Consider the following 20,818-nt stretch of genomic DNA (forward strand, 5'->3'; position numbering starts at 1 on the left):
AACAAATACAATAATCATCCCTAAATACTAGTTTTTTTCCCTGTAAGATAGTATCTGGGAGACCCAGGACACACTGAGGGAAGTAACGTGTACGCACAGAGAAGGCTATGTGTATCCAAGAGGCATGTAAGTCTTCATACTCCTATGTATGTTCACATGCTTACATGCACATAGGTATGCATGCTTGTCTGTAATTGCCTCGATGTGTTTTGAAAGTTGGCAAGGTATGAACTGCGACTAAAGGAGAGTTATGGGGCGGGCGCGGTGGCTCACGCCTATAATCCCAGCACTTTGGGAGGTCAAGGCAGGAGGACTGCCCGAGCTCAGTAGTTCAAGACCAGCCTGGGCAACATGGCAAAACCCCGTCTGTATTAAAAATACAAAAAACTAGCTGGGCATGGTGGCATGTGACTGTAATCCCAGCTACTCAGGAGGCTGGGGCAGGAGAATCACTTGAACCCAAGAGGCGGAGGTTGCAGTGAGCCAAGATCGTGCCACTGCACTCCAGCCTGGGCAACAAGAGCGAAATTATGTCTTCAAAAAAAAGAGAGTTAGGGCAGGTTTTAACTCCAAAATATCTGCTCCTCCCAGATAGGCATGCAGAGAGCTGCCTGCACCACACGGCAGGATTCGCTGTGTCACACATGGAGGAGGCCGGGAAGGTCTCTTGTGAGCCGCTGCAATGGTAGGGCCACCTGTGCTTTGTCTCCTGCATCTTTCTCACAGAAGGTGAATGGTCATCTGTGTAGACACAAGGCCTGGGCAGTCAATCATATCCACCACCTATATGCAAAATTCCTGAATGAACCAAGGGCAGAGTGCTGCTGTCTTGAGAAAAAGTTTTCCGTGTGGCCCTGTATCATGTTCCTTCAGCAGCATCCAAACTGCATCTCTTGACTGCACCTGCAGCATCGGCTAGGGCTCTTGCCGCCTTATACTCAGAGGACTGGGCTCACTGACTGCTTTGGCTGCCACGGTGTGGACTTTGCCTCTGTGCACGCTTCTCTCCTGGTCCCAGGGCTCACTGCACTTGCCTGGGGAACTCTCTGGCTCTTCCTCCTGGGATGGGGCTGAGGCTGGGCCCAGTCCACCCTGTGGACACTGGAGACCAGGAGAGGCTGGTTATTGTGGACTGGGCTCTTCCTTGGGCTTTTGGGTGGCCCCTGCCCTGCACTCCCCATCTTCCTTCCTCCCCCTGTGCACTGACCCCCTCTGTGGCCCTCTTCCCTGCAGAAGACCCCTGGCTTCTCCACCTCCTGATGGATACTCTGGTTTTGACTGCTAACAGCAACAAGAAGAGCCCTCCTCTGTTCTTTCTCTGCTTTTCTTGGCAAATCCACCCACAGCTGCATCTGCAGGTGCCATTTCATTTTCAGCACTATAATATTTTTCTCCTTGCTTTTCTACCACAAGCTGTATTTTTTTCATTTATTTTTTTGTTTGTAGACATGGGATGCCTTGCCCTGTGGCCCAGGCTGGTCTCAAACTGGTGGCCTCAAGTGATTCTCCAGCCTCGGTCTCCCAGTGTTGGGATTAAGGCATGAGCCTCTGCGCCTGGCCACAAGCTGTATTTTATTAAGTTTGCTGTAAAACACACCAAACAAACCTCAGAACCTCCACCGTTCTGGATACTGCAGACTGTGAAGGCCCAATCCCTGAATGGAGGGCTCAAAGCCCTTTAGGAGAGTACAAAAGACAGGACTCTTAGAAAAGTCTGGGCTGGTTTGTAGAAGTCGAAGTTCAAGTAACAACCTGAGTAACTCAAGGCTTCCTGGATTCCATCCTGCACTCGGTCTCCCTACAGAAGCTGCAGAACAGAAGGAAGGGCTGGCCCACCCTCCTCCTCAACAGCTGAGTGGTGAAAAGCCTCCTCTAAGGGAGGGTTACCCAGGCATGAGCGCTCCTTTTATTTTCTTCTTCTCTGTGAGGGGGAGAAAGAGCCAAGGCTCTCAGGGCAAGGAGATGGACGGATTGGCAGTGAGGCGGCACATTTTACTTCCTTGAGTGTTTGTTCTAGTAGTTGAGAGAGGAAGATTGACAAAAGGAAACTGCAGGCATCGAACAAGTGAGACACCACTGTCGGGTTTGAAAAGCCGAGTGAAGGAACAGAACAGAGGGCAGGCAGGACGATGGAGGTGCTCCGTGGAACTCTGACTAAGGCGAGTGTGCGAACAGGAAGAAAGGAGTGTGGACAAAGGCAGGAAAACAGCTGTATCCTCTAAAAATGCTTCCAACAGTGTTTATTTAAAGCTTAAAATGTCATGGAGCTTTTAATTTAAAAGACACAGAACTGTGGGATTATAAATCTGTAGGGGACTGTGCAGACAGACACTTTTCCTCACCATTTAGATAAAATAATCCTAAATCCGTGGAATAAGAAAGGATCTAAACAAGTAATTAAACTCCTCAGATCAAATGATAACTACAGCTGTTGATGATGGCACACTTAAAGGGACAGCGTTGTGAAAGGAAAAATGCTGAAATAAAATAAAGGAGCATAAAACACTTGCACTAGGGCCATCAGATGGATATTCTTCCCTGCTTACTAACAAGCTTGCAGCTTTAACATTGCTTCAGGGTCCTTTTTACCAGGAAAGGTCATATTGTTTTTAACATGCTAGGGCCACATACACTACTACCCTCCTTAGGAGAATTAGAAAATATCCCTTGTGACTGTGACCACTCCCCTCCTCCCAGCTGGAATCTGTGTGGCATGTTGAGAGCAGCTTCTGTAGTAGCTGCAAGGGCAGCATGGGGAGGGGGAGAGCCTGGCAGGGAGGTGGAAGCTCTGAAGAAGCTACAGGGTGCCCCAGGCTGGGGCCCAAAGACTGGCGGGTGTTTTCATCCTCAGAGGCAGCCTGAGTTCCCGGGGGCTTATGGGAGGCATTAAGGCTTAAATTAATTCAACTGTTATGGAAGCCCTGTGCCTGGAGGAAGTCTAGGCCGATGGCCTCTAAGTTTCTGTCTAAGGCGGAGACTGGGTAATTGCTGCAAATCAAGTAACATTTTATAACTGAAAATGTATCTTAAATGCTCACTAAGTCCGCCCCTGAGGCACAGTGGTTGATGTTTTACCCAACAAAGATATAAAAAGCGAGGGTTTCTCCCCAACTGCTCTCTCAGGGAGCTGTACCTGCTTACCATGCAAATGGGGACCTATCTTCAATTTTATAACTGTGAGTTGCGTTATTTACGGGGAAAACACCTTGAGCCAACTGTCATTAAGAAGCACATATGGTGATACGGTTTGGCTGTGTCCCCACCTAAATCTCATCTGTTACATGCAGCCCTGTGAAGAGACCACCAAACAGGCTTTGTGTGAGCAATAAAGCTTTTTAATCACCTGGGTACAGGCAGACTGAGTCCGAAAAAGGAGTCAGCAAAGGGAGATAGGGGTGCGGCAGTTTTATAGGATTTGGGTAGGTAGTGGAAAATTACAGTTAAAGGGGGTTGTTCTCTTGCGGGCAGGGGTGGGGGTCACAAGGTGCTCAGTGGGGGAGCTTCTGAGACTCATTGTCCAGGAGAAGGAGTGTCACAAGGTCAATCAGTTAGGGTGGGGCAGGAACAAATCACAATGGTGGAGTGTCATCCATTAAGGCAGGAAGTGGCTATTTTCACTTTGTGGTTTTTCAGTTGCTTCAGGCCATCTGGATGTATACGTGCAGGTCACAGGGGATATGATGGCTTAGCTTGGGCTCAGAGGCCTGACAATCTCGAACTGTAATCCCCAAGTGTGGAGGGAGGGAGGTGATTGGATCGTTGGGGTGGTTTCCCCCATGCTGTTCTCGTGATAGTGAGATCTGAAGGTTTTATAAGTGTTTGCAAGTGCCTCCTTTGCCCCTTTCTCCTGCTGCCTTGCCATCCCCTTCTGCCATGACTGTAAGTTTCCCGAGGCCTCCCCAGCCATGTGGAACTGTGGGTCAATTAAACCTCTTTCCTCTACAGAATACCCAGTCTCAGGGAAGTTCTTTATAGCAGTGTGAGAACAGAGTAACATTAATACACATGGGAAGGCCTGATTTTGCTCCTACCCTCATGTTCATACAAGACCTAGGGCTTTGGGGACCCAAGAGACCTGCAGAAAACTCCCAGCTCAGCTGCACGCCCTGGGACAAGTTTCTTAGCCTGTCTAACATACGATGTTTATTGGAGAAATGTATTTAATAGCCGCTGACCTGCAGAGCGGGGGTGGCCTTAAAGCTGGGGGTGGGGTGGGGCGGGGGGAGATGCTTTAGGTGTGGGAGGTGGCAGGCAGCCCAGGCAGTGAAGCCAGGTCCTCTAAAGCCTGGTGGTCTTTCGGGAAACCCCAACTCTGCAGCTTTCTAGCCGGAAACTCTGGAAGCTAGCAGCCTTGGGTAAAGCACCTATAAAATGAGGATCCTATTCATACTGCAGGTCTTATAAGCCTGCTGGACCTTGGCTTGCACACCTCTAAAATGGGATCCTAATGATGTAGTCATGCCACACACCTTCTAGGCGGTTGCGTCCATGGAGTGAAATAATCTGTGTTGTGCTCTGAGCGCTTGGCCCAGAATTACCTCTGAGCATCAACATATGGAATCATTAGGGAATGCTTTTGTTAACCGTGAGTTATAGGGAATTGACAAGATCTGCTGTCTCCCTTAACAGCAACGCTCCAGTAAGAGCAAACAGCTATTGAACTTGAGAAACTAAAGTGCCTCCTACCAAATATTTTGCTTAAAAAAAAAAAAAAGCAAACAAAACTATCAATTATTTGGAATTCACCAATACATCACACCTGCTAGGCACATTAAACCAGCTTCACAAACACTTCTTAATTGCCGGGGCTGCAGAGGAACAAACACAGCCTCTGTTCCCAATTCCATAACCCAAAAGCTTCTGAAAACACTGCAAAATCTGTACTGGGCTAGCATGAGGTGGTTTTAATGGTCCACATTTATCATACTTAGTGCGACTCTTCAAGCACTTCCCTATAGAAATACTAATGGATTTGATTACGGGTGCTGCCTGAGAACGTTCTGTGTCATGGAACATATGAATTCTAATACCTTTTAAAAATAACCTATATTTAAATACATCTGGCTCCATAGATTTTGGGTAACGGATTATGAACCCGAGTTTGTGACCGCTTACTTATGAAGTTACACTTTGTGCATCTTGCACAACTGAATCTACTTAATGCTTTTTTTCTCCAAAACTAATCTTGATGTATCTTGAGCATAATTTTTATTCCCAATTACAAAAAAGAGAAAAAACTTAAAGCCAGTGTTTTGTGTTAGATAGGCTAGTTCCTTAAAGACACAAAATAAACTACAAGAAAGGCTGATCTTGAGTTAGAATCAAATTGTCACAATCTGACAGTTATGAAGATGTTAGCTGACTGTGTGTGTGCACGTTTTAAGAGTTCAGCTTTTCTTTTTGAGACAAGGTCTCACCTGAGTATAGTAGGGTGATCACATCCCACTGCAGCCCTGACCCCCCGGGCTCAAGTGATCCTCCCGCCTCAGCCTCCCAAGTAGCTGGGGCTACAGGTGTGCGCCACCACACCAGGCTGATTTTTAATTTTTTTTGTAGAGACACGGTCTCCCTATGTTGCCCAGGCTAGTCTTGAACTCCTGGCCTGGAGTGATCCTCCCACTATGGACTCCCAAAGTGCTGGGATTACAGGTGTGAGCCACGGTGCCCAGCCAAGAGTTCAGCTTTTCACTGATCATGTTACAAAAGAGGTTTCTTCAAAAAGATTAAAGCCCGTGTCCTAAGTAGATCCCTCAGATGCTTCTTTCCTTGCTTGCACTTCCTTCTGCTCAGCTGGGGCAGCAGTGGAGGGGCAGGACTGCCTACAGGTACAGGTCCAGCAGCCCCCATGCTGCTGCAGAGGAGGTTCCCAATGTTGACTCTGGCTGGGGAAATGGTACAGGGGCAGAACTGCCTGTAGGTACAGGTCCACCAGCCCCCATGCTACCAAAAAGGCTCCCGATGTTGACACTGGCCAGGCCCTTGCAAACAGGTCAGGCCCAAAAGTTTCACCATTTACACTAGCTGCTTTAATGAGGGCGACGGTCTTATGTGATGGTCACCACACTGCACTGTAGAATGAGGGCCGAGTAGATGCAAGTGAGCTCAAACAAAGATGGAGGCCATGGTGTGGGCGAGTGCGGGGCTGGTGCCACCGGGCAGGGTGCTAGTCACCCAATGAGTGACAGCTTCACAAGGCCTTAGCTTCCTCGGAAGGGCTAAGCACCTTAATGGCAGCTGAGGAAAGAGGGTCAGCAGTGTTTTGAATGTGTGTAAAACCACATTTTAAAGTGAAGTTGCTTTAATTAAAAAACCCAACATCCAGTACATTTTGATAGAAGTGGTGGTGTCATTTTTCTGAACCATTTTGACAGTACATAGTAGCTAATCAGTAATTGTTCAATTTATTTAAAATGTACACCACTAGTATTGTTCATCTAAGATATTCTACTGCTTGTTTCCTAAACACCTTGATTCTCGAAATGAGGTCCCCGGACCAGCAGCATCAGTATGAAGTGAGATGCTGTCCAACTACATATTCTTGGACTCTGTCTTATTCCATTTTCTGCTGCTTATTAACAGAATGCCTAAAACGTGGTAATGTATGAAGACATTCATTTCTTACAGTTATGGGGACTGAGAAGTCCAACGTCGAGGGGACACATTTTGGGAGGGCCTTCTTGCTGGTGGGGACTCCATGGAGTCCCGAGGCAGCACAGAGCATCACATCTTGAGGGGGCTGAGTATGCTAGCTCAGGTCTCTCTCTCTCTCTCTCTTTTTCTTTTTTTCTTTTTTCTCTCTTTGAGACGGAGTCTCGCACTGTAGCCAGGGCTGGAGTGCAAAGGCGTGATCTCAGCTCACTGAAACCTCTGCATCCCAGGTTCATGCAATTCTCCTGCCTCAGCCTCCCGAGTAGCTGGGATTACAAGTGCACACCACCATGCCTGGCTAATTTTTTGTAGAGATGGGGTTTAGTAGAGATGGGGTTTCACTATGTTGGCCAGGCTGGTCCCAAACTCCTGACCTCATGATCCACCTGCCTCGGCCTCCCAAAGTCCTGGGATTACAGGTGTGAGCCACAGTGCCCAGCCTCCTCCTCTTCTTACAAAGCCAGCAGTCCCACTCCTTTGATAACGCATTCATCCAACAACTCACTAATCTATTAATCCATGAACGAAAGGGTCCATTCATGAGGGCAGAGCCTTCATGACCCAACACCTCTTAGAGACCCCACACCTCTCAATACTGCCACATTGGGGATTAAGTTTCAACATGAGTTTCAGAGAGAACAAACGTTCAAACCACACAGCAGGCCCTACCCCAGATCTACAGAATCAGAAGCTGGGGTGGGACCTAGCAATGTGTGTTTTACAGAGCCCTCTCAGTGATTTGAATGTGTGCTCAAGTGGAGGGCCACTGACCTGGCATTATGTTTTCATGTAAGACTTGTGCTCTATAAAGTTGTGATTTTAAAAATATATCAATCTTAACTAAGAAGTGCTTAATTGTACATATACAAATGTACAAATTAGTACAAATTAAAGAATAAACAATCTATGATGATATTCATCCCAGTACTTACTTTCCTTTATATTGTACCCCATTATGGTTTAGTTACATTTATTTTCCTATTTCCTTCTGTCACCCCCAAATCAGACTTATGTTAATGTGTTTGTAATGAAAGAGAGATTTAAAAATAAGGACCCTTAAACATGCCCCATTCTTTCTCAAGTTAACTGCAGCAAATGATTCCAATAAATTGGAGTTCTCAGTTAATAATAGTTAATTAGGCCTGCATCAAATGAGATGTAGAATTCAATGAAAGTTATGCACAGCATTCTCACGGACATGGCCAGGGTAAAGTGCTTATGAAGACATGCCCTAATAAGCTAGCTCTTTTAAAGAAACATGCATCTTGGAATAAAAACACTGACAACTTAATGGAACATACCATATGCAAGGATTAGTTAATTGGCTCAACTCTCTTAAATGGAAATCAAGAAAAAAACATTTTCTAGGCTGGAATCATTACATATGAAATCACAGTTGTCCTTGGTGACCTTCTTTTGAGAGTAACTACTGAAACTTTTACATCGCTATATATATATGTTCTAACATAAGATCCTCCTTTTCTTCTAGTGAAAGCATTTCCAGCTTTATGAAAGATATTGGAAAATAAGGGTCAATTTCCAAAAACCAACTTTCGGTCAGTAAGTAGCACAGCAATCCTAAAAACTGAGCTTTGAACTACATAAGCTAGGAAATCCAGCCCTTCACAGCAGAAAGGTTTCAGCCTTCTGAAATGGCTAGTTCAGACAGCTGGGGTTGCCTTGGGCTTTTTTTGACCTTCTTAACCAGCCAAGCTTACTTAGTAATCCCTAGAACCCTAACAGCAAAAACTGTTCTGAAAGGTCACTGTGGGCAACAGCTGTTTCACATTGCTCTCTATGCTCCTGGCACACAGCACAGAGCCCAGATCCTGTCGGCAGCGCTATTTCACTTCACTCCCAGAGTCACGTCCACGCACGTGGCTGCAAGGGGGAGCTGGCCTAAGCCTGCAGTGAGGAGTGAGGCCAAACCACACCACCTCTTTGCATGGACTGGAAGAGTCTATCTGCTCAAAGCATCCTAGTGTCATAGGAAGGCATTATTACATTTGCGGGAAGACAAGAGAAGCCCACGAAAAGACCAGATTCTGGTAAATGAGGAGGCACTGAGTTAAGTTATAAAGATAACTGTCCATGTGTGAAGGTAAATGAAAATCTCTTCAAATGAGAACGAGCAGAGGCTATTCATTCAGAGATTGCATAGCAAGAAAGTTGGACACCAGCACTTGCCTTTGGCAGAAGCTCAAATGCAGGTTGGGGAGCTGGGAAAGCTTTACAGTTGGAAAAGGGAGGCTTCAGGTGGGCCCTGACTGGAGGCTGTTGTGGGGGCTGGGGGTGGCTCACTAGAAGTGAGGCATCTCATGGGATTGGCTTGGGAAACATTTTGGCTCTCTGGCTGGCGGTGGAAACTCTGTAGGCATGCCTGAGACAATCAAGTCCCTTAAAGGAGATAAGTCATTGAGCTGGCCAAGGACCCTGGGCTGCCGACTAGACTCATGGGATGAGTGTGGCTGCCCTCCTACCCTGGCCTGCCTCCTGGTTTCTTCCCAGCCACCTTGGCCATCCGTTAGCAAACCCCTAGCATGTTCCCAGGTGGATGGTGGGCCAGGCACTTCTCTCTGGGCCCTGGGACCCCTGCCCTGCTCAGCCTCATTCACCATTCTATATTCCACAGGCACTCCTGCATCCCTTACCACATGCCCTTGCCCAGCCTTTGGTAATGACCAATCAGAATGAACTAATCTCCATGCCCCCTCTACGCCAAAAAGACCCTGCATCAGGTCAGTGTTTATGAGGAGAAACTGCATTGGTCAGTAATAGAGTTTATATATTTATTCCCTCCCAAATCTCATGCTGAATTGTAGCCCTCAATGTTGGAGGCAGGGCTTGGTGGGAGGTATACTGATCATGGGGGCAGATCCTTCGCTTGGGCCATCCTCCACTTGGTGATCAGTGAGCTCTTGCTCTGAGTTCACATGAGAGCTGGTGGTTTAAAAGTGCATGGTACCTCCCCCCAACTCTCTCTCTGGCTCATGCTTTTGCCATGTTACATGCCTGCTCCTGCTTACCCGTCCACCGTGATTGTAAGCCTCTTGAGGACTCCCCCGAAGCAGCTGCCACTATGCTTCCTGTATAACCTGCAGAAATGTGAGCCAATTAAACCGTTGTTCTTCTAAATTATCTAGACTCAGCCATTTCTTTAAGGCAATGCAAGCACGGCCTAATACAGAAAATTGGTACCAGAAGTGGCGTGTTGCTACAAGGATACCTGAAAATATGGAAGTGACTTTGGAATTGGGTAACAGGCAGAGGTTGGAAGAGTTTGGAGGGCTCAGAAGAACACAGGAAGATGAGAGAAAAGTTGCAGCTTCCTAGAGAACAGTTAAATGGTTGTGATCAAAATGCTGATAGTGATATGGATGGTGAAGTCCAGGCCAACAAGGTCTCACATGGAAATGAGAAACTGAGAACTGGAGGAAAGGTCACACATGTTATTTCTTAGCAAAGAACTTGGCTGCATTCTGTTCATGCCCTAGGGTTCTGTGGAAGTTAGAACTTCAGGGTAATCCTTTAGGTTATCTAGCAGAACAAATTTCTAAGCAGCAAAGCATGCTATGTGTAACCTGGCTTCTTCTAACAGACTACGCTCAGATGCAGAAGCAAAGAAATGACAAAGTTGGAAGTTATATTTAAAGGGAAGGTAGAGCAAAAAAGTTTAGGAAATATGCTGCCTGGCCATGTGGCAGAGAACGAAAAAGCTTTTTCAGGAGAGGAATTCAAGCAGGCTGTGGAGCAACCACTTGCCAGAGAAATTTGCATATCTAAAAAGGAGGGAAGTGCTGACACCAAAACAGTGGGGGAAAGGTCTCACAGGTATTTCAGAAGTCTCCAAGGCAGCCTCTCTCATCACAGGCCCAGGGGCCTAGAAGAGAAGGGTGGTTTCCTGAGCCACGCCCAGGGCCCAGCTGCCTCAGGACACTGCTCCCCTCATCCCCACTGCTCCTGCTTCAGCCAGGGCTCAAAGGGAGCTCATCCTGGTGCTCTGTAGGCACACAAGCCACACGCCTTAGTGGCTTGCTTTCTGTATAGCCTACAGAATTGTGAGCCATTTAAACCCATTTTCTTACAAATTACGTGGACTCAGGCATTTCTTTATAGCAATACAATATGTCCTAATACAATCAGGAAACTTTAACACAGTCTGGAGAACTGTCACACTTATGTGGGCTTGGATGCTGACATATTTGGGTTTTACCCTTTGCTCTATTCTCAAGGCCTGCCATTACCAGATCTAATTCATGTATATATTTTCTTATCCCAATGTATAGCAGAAAGACACTGTGATTTGCAGGAAACACTCCAAAACTATAGAACAGTGAGGCTGAGTGTGAGCAAAAATCAGAGGTAAGTATGTCACAGGAAAAGGAAATCAAAGTTAGTGCTGTTAAAGTCCAAAAACACAAAATATATTCCTCTCTTTTAGGTTTTCTGCAATCTCCATCCAACTTGCCTTCCATGAATAAATACCTGTCTATAAACTAGGAGAAAACCCAAACCTACCTGGTTCAAAATTTAACGGTATGGTTTGCTTGTTTTGGTTAAGTACTGTACTGCACCCGTATGACTGGCTCACTGCTCCTTGCTGCTATATGTGTTATTTCATTTACACTGTGGAAACTGAAGAACAAAACTGTAATGCTATGAACTAGAATCCAAACGAACCTAAAATTGACTTTCCCCTTAAATTAAAATTCAGTCCAGGTTTCCAGTGACTGAGCACAGAGCCCCTTCTGAGACAAATATTTCTAAGTTGGGACCATCCTGTGTCACACAAGTAAACATAACATGTAATATTGATTCAAATCATAGATGAAAAATCTCGAGAAGCCAGATATCCCGGGTATGCAGAAATGGCACATGCTCAGAATACAATCAGTTTAATTAAACAAATGTTGACTGGGTACCTACTTTGTGCTAGGCACCAAGAAAAATGTGACAACTGACATGGAGACAGTCCTTACAAGGTTAAATAAATCAGTAATCAGAAATGATAAGTTCATTAATATATTTTGAAACAAATACTGACAAAGAGAAACCTTGCAAAAACAGTGATTAAGAATACATCACTATGTAAATCAGAATGTTTTTCTCACCTGAAGACCTATCCATATGTCACCTTCAGCTAACTAATTTCAATGACCTATTATCTAAGAAATGTCCTCTCAGACCCGAAAACAGAAGTCAGGTAGAAGCAATGTTACAAGCCAAGCACAAATTCCTAGCAGTATGAGAAGGGAGAAGACACGGTGATGAGAACATCAAATGATGAGAAGTGCAATCATCTGTTCTTCAACAAATGTTGCAAGTTGTTAACACGCTGTGAGCACTACCGCGCTTTTCCCTACAACCACTAACGTATTTTGTGCTTTATATATACAGGATAGAAACTTCCACAGCACCGTGCTGTCACTGTTTCACCTTTACAAATGAGCCTGCATGTAAATGCTAGTGCTTTCTCGTGTTTAGGAATTTAAAGGACTGAAATGAATAATTAAGCATAAAATTAAGAGTCTCAGTAATATTGCCTCAAATGAGAAGCTTGCTCTAGTGGGCTTAGAAAAAAGTATTTAAGTATTTGATATATCGCTTCCTGTAGCTGTAAGCTATCATTTTTGAACTGTAGAGAAAAAATAATAAATATGATTGCTTAAAATAGAGATCTGTAAAGATAATTGAGTGATCATCTGCAAAGTAAAACTCTTGATTAGCATGTGGCATAATTCACAGGCATTAGCAATTCTATTTAATAGGTATGGGAATTGGTCTAAGAATTTTTTTCTCATCCATATTTAAATTTAAAAAATCACTTAAAAAATGAACTGGTTCAAAAGGTGTTGCTAGACCATACCTATCTGTATGAAAACATATCTGTATTGGGGAAAAATATTGATCCCTAGGATCATAAACCTCTGTAAAGAAAACAGGAGAAAAATTCTTGGAGGCTTGGATTATGTGAAGGTTTTATACATAGAACGCAAAGAGCAAGGGTCGTACGAGAACATATGGATAAAGGGGCTTTCTTCAAAATTAAAAGGCACATACACATAAGAAAGCAAAAGGCAAGCTACAGACTGAGGGAAAATATTTACAATACATACATACACACATGCACACACAGACACCCAAAGGACTCGTATCCAGAATACGTAAGGAACTGAACTTTACAACTCAGTGATGACGCAATCTGCAGTAGAGAGAATAATTGTCCCCCAAAGATGTCCAAGTCCTAATTCCCAGAACCTGTGAATGTTAAATTCCATGGCAACAGGGAATTTGCAAAAGTAATTAAGAATCTTGAGGTGGGGAGGTGACCCTGGATTATCCAGGTGGACTCAATATAATCACAAGGTCCTTATAAGAGGCGGCCAGGAGGGAGAGAGAGAAGGTATGAAGAGGAGCGGTAGTCAGAGCCCAGGAATGGCGGCCACTCTAGGAGCTGGAGAGGCAAGGAAACAGCCAATACCCCACAGCCTCCAGAAAGGAACACAGCCCTGCCAATACCTTGATTTTACCAACTGAGACCAATTCTGGTGTCCAGAACTGTAAGACAATACATTTGTGTTGTTTTAAGCCACTGTTTGTGACAACTGGTTACAGCAGTAATAAAAGGCTAACATAGCAACTCTTTGGGCAGTTTCTTTAAAAGTTAACTATAAATTTACCATACAATCCTCAGGAAGGAATCAGTCCAGTCCTACATGTTTACTCAAGAAAGAAAAGCCTATGTTTACACAAAGACTTAGGCACAGATATTTATGGCAGTTTCATTTGTAACAGCTAAAAACTGGAAAGAAGCCAAGACTGTCAATAGGTCAATGGATATTCAGCCTGTGGTGCAGCCACACAACTGAATAAAAGGCATAAAAACTACTGGTACACACAATGACATGAGTTCCCAAAATTATGCTCAATGAGAGAAGCCAGATTAAAAAAAGAACATATACTGTGTGGTTCTATATACAATTCTAGGAAATCTTTAATTTCAGAAGCAGACCAGTGGTTCCTTTGGCATGGGGTCAGAGAGAGGCAGGGGTTGCAGTGGGCACGTGAAACTTCTGGGAGTTGTGGGAAGATTTGTCATCTGGGTGTGGGAACTGTGTCACGGTAACTGCATGCCAAAACTGGTCACACAGTATACTTTATGTGCAGTTTATTGTACTCCAATTAAACCTCCATAAAGTTGTTTTAAAAAGAAAAACTTATTAGGTTGGGAAAAAATGAACAGTTACAATGTTAATAGAAGTAGCCCTGAATGACAAAAAATACCCACCGACCATCACAACACTCATAAATGACCCCTGGAATCCAATGTGAGGAAATCTTCCTGGGACTTCTCAACTCCCCTTCATAAAATGTGCTTTCTTTATTGATGGAATCCCTGAAGGGGACCCTCTGTTGAGCCTTCTTAGGGAGGAGGGGATGCCCATGTTTTGGGGCTCTTGTCCCCAGTGCCATCCTTTCTGGGGCACTGGTGAGCGCACAAAGTATGGCGCCATTCCTTCCCTGGAGCTTCAGGGTGCCTTCCCTCCACGCCCACACACTGCAGGCTAAAAGCAGGTCCCACTACTGTTTTAACTTTAATTATGGTGGAGGTGGGATTGAAGGGATAATTTAAGAGCAAGGTACCCTAGTTGACAGAAGGTGACAGCCTGTCCCAAACACAGAGAACAAGGAGGCTCCCAGAGAGAAAAGATCCACAGGTAGGTGGCCAAAGGGTACAGGCATATAGGGAGGAGCCTGGGGTCAGTGTGAGGGCTTTCTAACTAGCATGCAGTGTGCCAGGGAACCCCCTGCGACCATAAGGAGGGTGGGTCCCTAGCTTGGGAGAATAAATAACTGTTGATTTGGATTTATAAATTCAGGAGAGCTCTACCATATCTTTAAGTTGAGCTATCCAACAGAGAGAGTCTTAAATCCTGTAGATATTGGGGTTAAAGAATATGTTAGCTGGGGGCTGTGGCTCATGCCTGTAATCCCAGGCACCTGGGAAGCTGTGGCAAGGAGGATTGCTTGAGACCAAGAGTTCGAGACCAGCCTGGACAATACAGCGAGACCCTGTCTCTACAAAAAACATTTAAAAATTAGCTGGGTGTGGTAGCATGTGCCTCTGGTCCCAGCTACTCGGGGAGCTGAGGTAAGAGAATCGGTTGAGCCCAGGAGTTCGAGGCTACAGTCAGCTATGGTTGCACCACTGCACTGCACTCTATCTAGCCTGTGCAACAGAGTAAGACCCTGTCTCAAAAAAAAAAACCCATATATGTGTGTGTGTGTGTGTGTGTGTGTGTGTTTACATTCATTTGCACACAAATCTGATAACCATAATGAAGAGGAAAAAGCCCAGGATACTGAATAATACTGCTATGTACATGCATATTGTTCTCTCTCCCATTTAAAAGCACATATTTGGCAGTAGATGACCAGTGCAAAAAGAACTTTTAATTTTTCTGGTCACAGAGATGAATTGGCTCTCCCTTCCTGTGTACTTCCTTTCCTTCTCGCTTTTCCTACATGGATTTTTTCAAAGCAGAATCTCAGACCCTGTAGATGCTGATCAAAGAATGCTTTCCTGTTTCCTTTAAGAAGGCAGCAGGTATGTGATGAAATAACAGATTGATATGCTTTGTAACCACCCCCTGCCCCCGTTTTGAATCTGGGCTCCACCAGCAAGAGTCAAGCTTTTTTCCAGGGCAAACAGCTATCCCGCGCAATTGCTCTGAGTGTTAGGGATGACTTATAAAGACTGTGTGGATACAGCTGGCTCAAATTCAGATTCTCATCACCCGATTACATGCACCTTTCTCTGAACAGACCTTCTCCCCAGGTCAAACTCACTTGAGATTATTACTAGAGTTACGTTATGAGTTTGTATATATTTTCCTTCTCAACATACTTTCAGTATTTGAATAAAGATTAATGAATCAAAGTTCTAACTTGAAGTATTTATACCAAAAATTGTTATAAAGTTTTACTTTATTTTTTGTTCTGGAAACTATCAAGCCAGATTTGGAAACACTTAAAAATGGAACATTTTTTATCCAGGGTTTTTTGGGGTCTCATTATCCAATAACCAATTAAAAAAACGTCTCTGGTGTTCTTTCTAAATCGTGCTAAGTTACCTTAAAATGAGATAAAGGACAAGAATGCTGTAACACTTATTTTTTATACTTTAAGGCAATGGCTCACAACTGGGCTTTGCTTTTGCCCCTTGGGAGATATTAAAGACAGTATAAACGTTATGTTTTGTTTGTAAATCAAATTTTGTGTGAAGTAAATTATAAGTGTTGATGGGCAAACAAGGTATAAACATGTAATTTGTATGACAACAGCAACAGAAATAAGAGAGTCGGAAACGGAACTACATAGGAGCAGAGGTTTGTGAACTACTTAAAATAAGTGGTTAAGATGTTTATCATAGTCCACAGAGCAATCACTAAGAAATACAGTAAAGGACAGAATAATTAAAATGGCACGCTAAAAAATATCTAAAGTTAAAAAAGGCAGTAATAAAGAAATAAGGTAACAAGAAGACTTAACACAGAAAACAGCAGCATGCCGCACGTAAATCCTGTCTTACCAATAATCGCATTGTATGTAAATAGATTAAAAACGCCAATTAAAAGGTAGAGATTGAAGAATGGATTTAAAAAAGACATGATCTAACTATATGATATCTACAATAGAGATACAATTTAGACCAAATGGTACAAAAGCATTGAAAGTAAAATGATGGAAATGAGATTCCTTGCAAACAACAGCCCAAAGAGAGCTGAAGTAGCTATAGTAATATCAGACAAAGTAGACTTAGGACAAACCATTTCACTAAAAAAAACCAAACAATTTTAATGGAAACATTTTATAGTGATAAAGGTCACCCCATCAAGAAGATGCAACAATTATAAACATATATGAACCTAACCACAGAGCCCCAAAATACAAGCAGCAAAAACTGTCAAAACTGAAAGGGGATATAGCTGATTCCAATAATAGTAGCTGGAGATTTCAATGCCACACTTGACAATGGACAGAACAACTAGACGGAAGACAAATACAAGACTTGATTTAATCCACTTACACACTGTAAACCATTAAAACTTGACAGACATCTATACAAAACTGACCCAATAATAACAGAATATACATTATTCTTAAGTGCACATGGAAAATTATCCAGAATAGGCCATATGCTGGGTCATAAGTCTCAATAAGTTTACAAAGAAGTGAAATCATATATTTTCCCAATCAACAATGAAATTAGAAATCAGTAACTGAAGAAAACTTGGGAAATTCACAAATAATGTGGAAATTAAACAACATACTCCTAAAAATTTGTGGGTCAAAGATGAAATTATGAGAGAAATTAAAAGATACTTTGAGAAGAATAAAAATGGAAACACAACATACCAAAACTTATGGGATGCAGCAAAAGCACTGCGTGGAGGGAAATTATGGCTACAAACGTCTGCACTAAAAAAGTATGTTCAAAGAGGTGAAACAGTGCTAGCTTTGAAGATGAGTCAAGACGTGTGGGTGGCCTCTAATAGCTGGAAAAGGCAAGAAAACATTCCCCATTAGAGCCTCCAGAAACAAACAGAGCCTTGCCAACACCCGATTTTACCAAGAGATTGGTAAAATCAGGCCTCAGTTTGTGGTAATTTGTTACAGCAGCAATAGAAATAGAAGGCATTTAAGAAACTTTGGCTATCTTGTTGCCAAGTGCGGTGGCTCACGCCTGTAATCCCAGCACTTTGGGAGGCCGAGGCGGGTGGATCACGAGGTCAGGAGATCGAGACCATCCTGGCTAACACGGTGAAACCCTGTCTCTACTAAAAAATACAAAAAAATTAGCCAGGCGTGGTGGCGGGCACCTGTAGTCCCAGCTACTCGGGAGGCTGAGGCAGGAGAATGGCGTGAACCCAGGAGGCGGAGCTTGCAGTGAGCGGAGATGGCGCCACTGCACTCCAGCCTGGGCGACAGAGTGAGACTCTGTCTCAAAAAAAAAGTAACTTTGGCTATCTTTTTGTTTTTCCCTCATCGGGCTACTGTACAATGACTTTCAAACATATTAAAAAAAAACATAAAAAAAACATAAAAATAAACTTTTAAACGTTTCATTCACAACCTAAAGTCAATGAAAGCTACAGGCAGAGTTTACAGAACTATGTGTGACAATTTATCTGAGGCAGTTCACCAGTTTACTAAAAAACAGCACAGTATAGTCCTCACAAAATGAAAACAAACCCCAGCATGCTAGGCCTTCGTTATTGCTACAGAATAACACATATGTATAAATACTATTAATCATTTTTTTTCCCATTTCCTATTGATGCACCATGATGCTTCCATTTAGCTAATGGCAATAATCTAAATTCTTTTTGAATTTTAAGAGCTAAATATACAAACATAGAGCTCTAGATGGATGTCACTTTGCCTAAACCCTTCTCAGAGCTAGTTTTCCAGTGTCTGAGGCATTATAGATTAATGCCAAACCCACATATCCCTAGGCCTTTTGAATTAATGAAAACCAGCAACTGTCCTCCACAACATGCACAAAGGCTTTATTTAAAGATCATCTTTCCTACCAAAACTCAATCACTTCTATTCTTTTTCAGTGAAGGTGACAGGCCCTCCGCTACCCTTCCATTTCTATCTGTATCAGTCATTTTCAGGCTGCTGATAAAGACATACCTGAGAATGGGTAATTTATAAAGAAAAAGAGGCTTAATGGACTCACAGTTCCACGTGGCTGGGGAGGCCTCACAATCATGGCAGAAGATGAAAGGCACATCTCACTTGGCGGCAGACGTGACAGCGAGCTTGTGCAGGAAAACTCCTTTTCATAAAACCACCAGATCTCATGAGACTTATTCACTATCACGAGAACAGCACGGGAAAGACCTGCCCCCATGATTCAATTACCTCCCACCAGGTCCCTCCCACAATACACAGGAATTGTGGGAGCTACAATTCAAGATGAGATTTGGGTGGGGACACAGCCAAACCATATCACTATCCTTACTCTTAGCATTCCCTATCAATGGCCTGTTAGGAATTACCACCAGGGATATATGCATATATATGAAGATAATGCCAAAATTACATTTTTAAAAAATTTAGGGCAATGTAAATCATCATGAAATGTAAGAAAAACATTAAGAATATAAACAGCAATACACAGTACAAAGTGCTTCTCTCCTAAAGACACATGAGTGACCATGTCACAGGAATATTTCTTTAGCTGTTATGCTTTTGGTTCACTTATTTTTGTGTGCTGGTGGGGGTGGAGGAATGTCAGAAAATTCAGCTGTAAAAAGATGATAGGAGCTGAGAATGGAGAAACTTCTCTGGTGATCCTCTAACTGAACAGACCTGGGCCATTTGCTGCCCACCTTCCTGGAAAGGTCTGCCCAGAAATTCAGGAAAACATTGGTCCAGATGGCTTGATCCTTCACACAATCAAAAATCTTAGATTCTTGGGACTGTAAGTTTGCTAGGGCCGCCATCACAAAATAACACAAAATGGGTGGCTTACATAGAAATTAATTTTCTTGCAATTCTGGAGGCTGGAAGTCTAAGATCAGAGTCAGTCAGCAGGGTTGGTCTCTTCTGAGACCTCTCTCCTTGGTTAGTAGATGCTGTCCTCTCCCTGTGTCCTCACGTGGTTGTCCGTAGTGTGTCTGTGTCCTAATCGCCTCTTATAAGGACACCAGTCCCATTGGATTAGGACATTGTTTAGCCCTTTAAAGACCTATCTCCAAATATAGTCACATTCTGAGGTCCTGGGGTTAGGCCTCCACCACGTAAGTTTGAGGGGGACATGACTCAGCCCGTAACACTGGGTTATTCATCTTCATCTACTTGGTTTTTTTAATTTTTATTTTTTTATATAAAAGGCAAGAGCAGTTTGTTAATGGAAGGTGCTATCTTAACATGGGGAAGGGATGAAGAAGATCACTAAGAAATAAGGATCAAGATCCTTTTTTAAAGAATACATATTTGCATATGTATAAATTGGTTCGAGTATCTCAGATTTTATGTATCTAATTCTACCTAGGATTTCTCAAAAGAACCAAAAAGCATAGGGTATGGTTCCTGCTATGCAGAGTGTACCTCTGGTACCCAAAGTAGCAAAGTGGGAATTATATTGACAAAAGGAGGCATAGCTTGGTAACTGCAGGCACAGCTCAATTTACCAAGCCTTCCACACATGGGGGCACTGAAGGATGAGGAGTCAGAAATGCTCACTCACATTCTCAAAGAGCAACTGACCTTTATTCCACAGCTCCAATTACCAGGGAAGGACAGCTGGTAAGAGACCGCCTTTTCTTTGAACAGCTAGGGGCTTGGCAGACACATAACTAAGGCTAGCACAATGTTCTAACTATGTCAGTAATGTGGCCCTATGAGGTGTTACTGTCAGTCAAACTACATGAAAGATATCCAGAATTCAATCAGATATCCTTTTAATAGCTGTACCTACGACTTGTACTGACCTGAGAAGCATAAAAGAATGGAGAATTCCTCCCAAGTTCAAAGATTACTGGAGTTAGGTGGAAAGATATTTACTTATTTTAAGAAATGAAAACTCTAATCACCTGCATGGGAATGTAAAGTACCTGGGAGGGAACTGTTTTCCTTAATGAACAGACATCTCTCAACTCCCAAATCATTTAGAGGGATGCTTAAAAGCAGCAAGACCACTGAATACATTTTCCATGTTACTTATTATTTTATTACTTGTACTTTTTAATTGAATTTGGCCTATGAGAACAATAATGCTAATAAATAACCATTTAAATGCATACCTGAATTATTTACATTTGCAATTTAAGGCATGATCAGAATGATGTTGAAATATTAAGAATTTTAGGTTCATCATTTTTATAAACTTATTATGTTTAAGATGATTATTGACTAAAAGAGTTTCATTCTTTAATTCAGACAACTGAAGTACTCAACAAAGAAATAAAATATATTAGAGTTTTGTAAGTGTGAGTTAACAGTATAAAGGTGAAGTTTATGAAAAAATTGTAAAGGTTGAGACTCAAACACTGTTATGGCCTCTGAACAGTGACTGTTAACATTTACTAGATTTTTTGTTTTTGGTAACAGAGTCTCACTCTGTTGCCCAGGCTGGAGTGCAGTGGTATGATCT

The 20,818-nt window shown here is 43.1% G+C and overlaps 1 protein-coding gene across 6 annotated transcripts in view, besides 7 other annotated features; it reads right to left on the reverse strand.

Moving 5' to 3' along the window:
- PUDP (pseudouridine 5'-phosphatase) overlaps nt 1-20,818 on the reverse strand; it is a 442,316-nt gene that overhangs the window by 401,454 nt on the left and 20,044 nt on the right. Inside the window, exon 2 of one of the 6 annotated variants that reach the window (NM_001135565.2) lies at nt 9,675-9,743. The exons of the other annotated variants lie outside the window; for them this stretch is intronic. Coding sequence (NP_001129037.1) covers nt 9,675-9,743 — 69 coding nt within the window. The remainder of the gene's footprint in view (nt 1-9,674; nt 9,744-20,818) is intronic. 6 annotated transcript variants of the gene reach the window in all.
- Nucleotides 1,891-1,960: an enhancer, noted in NCBI's record as "active region_29384". NCBI's record gives its function as "activates an Ori minimal core promoter by ATAC-STARR-seq in GM12878 lymphoblastoid cells {active_cell/tissue: GM12878}" and the evidence as "EXISTENCE:reporter gene assay evidence [ECO:0000049][PMID:35858748]".
- Nucleotides 2,111-2,160: an enhancer, noted in NCBI's record as "active region_29385". NCBI's record gives its function as "activates an Ori minimal core promoter by ATAC-STARR-seq in GM12878 lymphoblastoid cells {active_cell/tissue: GM12878}" and the evidence as "EXISTENCE:reporter gene assay evidence [ECO:0000049][PMID:35858748]".
- Nucleotides 3,431-3,480: an enhancer, noted in NCBI's record as "active region_29386". NCBI's record gives its function as "activates an Ori minimal core promoter by ATAC-STARR-seq in GM12878 lymphoblastoid cells {active_cell/tissue: GM12878}" and the evidence as "EXISTENCE:reporter gene assay evidence [ECO:0000049][PMID:35858748]".
- Nucleotides 3,491-3,740: an enhancer, noted in NCBI's record as "active region_29387". NCBI's record gives its function as "activates an Ori minimal core promoter by ATAC-STARR-seq in GM12878 lymphoblastoid cells {active_cell/tissue: GM12878}" and the evidence as "EXISTENCE:reporter gene assay evidence [ECO:0000049][PMID:35858748]".
- Nucleotides 8,563-9,064: an enhancer, noted in NCBI's record as "H3K4me1 hESC enhancer chrX:7033895-7034396 (GRCh37/hg19 assembly coordinates)". NCBI's record gives its function as "activates a minimal SCP1, AML or CMV promoter by ChIP-STARR-seq in naive H9 embryonic stem cells {active_cell/tissue: H9 hESC(naive)}" and the evidence as "EXISTENCE:reporter gene assay evidence [ECO:0000049][PMID:30033119]".
- Nucleotides 8,739-8,848: an enhancer, noted in NCBI's record as "active region_29388". NCBI's record gives its function as "activates an Ori minimal core promoter by ATAC-STARR-seq in GM12878 lymphoblastoid cells {active_cell/tissue: GM12878}" and the evidence as "EXISTENCE:reporter gene assay evidence [ECO:0000049][PMID:35858748]".
- Nucleotides 9,065-9,564: an enhancer, noted in NCBI's record as "H3K4me1 hESC enhancer chrX:7034397-7034896 (GRCh37/hg19 assembly coordinates)". NCBI's record gives its function as "activates a minimal SCP1, AML or CMV promoter by ChIP-STARR-seq in naive H9 embryonic stem cells {active_cell/tissue: H9 hESC(naive)}" and the evidence as "EXISTENCE:reporter gene assay evidence [ECO:0000049][PMID:30033119]".

This window comes from Homo sapiens, chromosome X, assembly GCF_000001405.40.
Source record: "Homo sapiens chromosome X, GRCh38.p14 Primary Assembly".
NCBI lineage: Eukaryota > Metazoa > Chordata > Mammalia > Primates > Hominidae > Homo > Homo sapiens.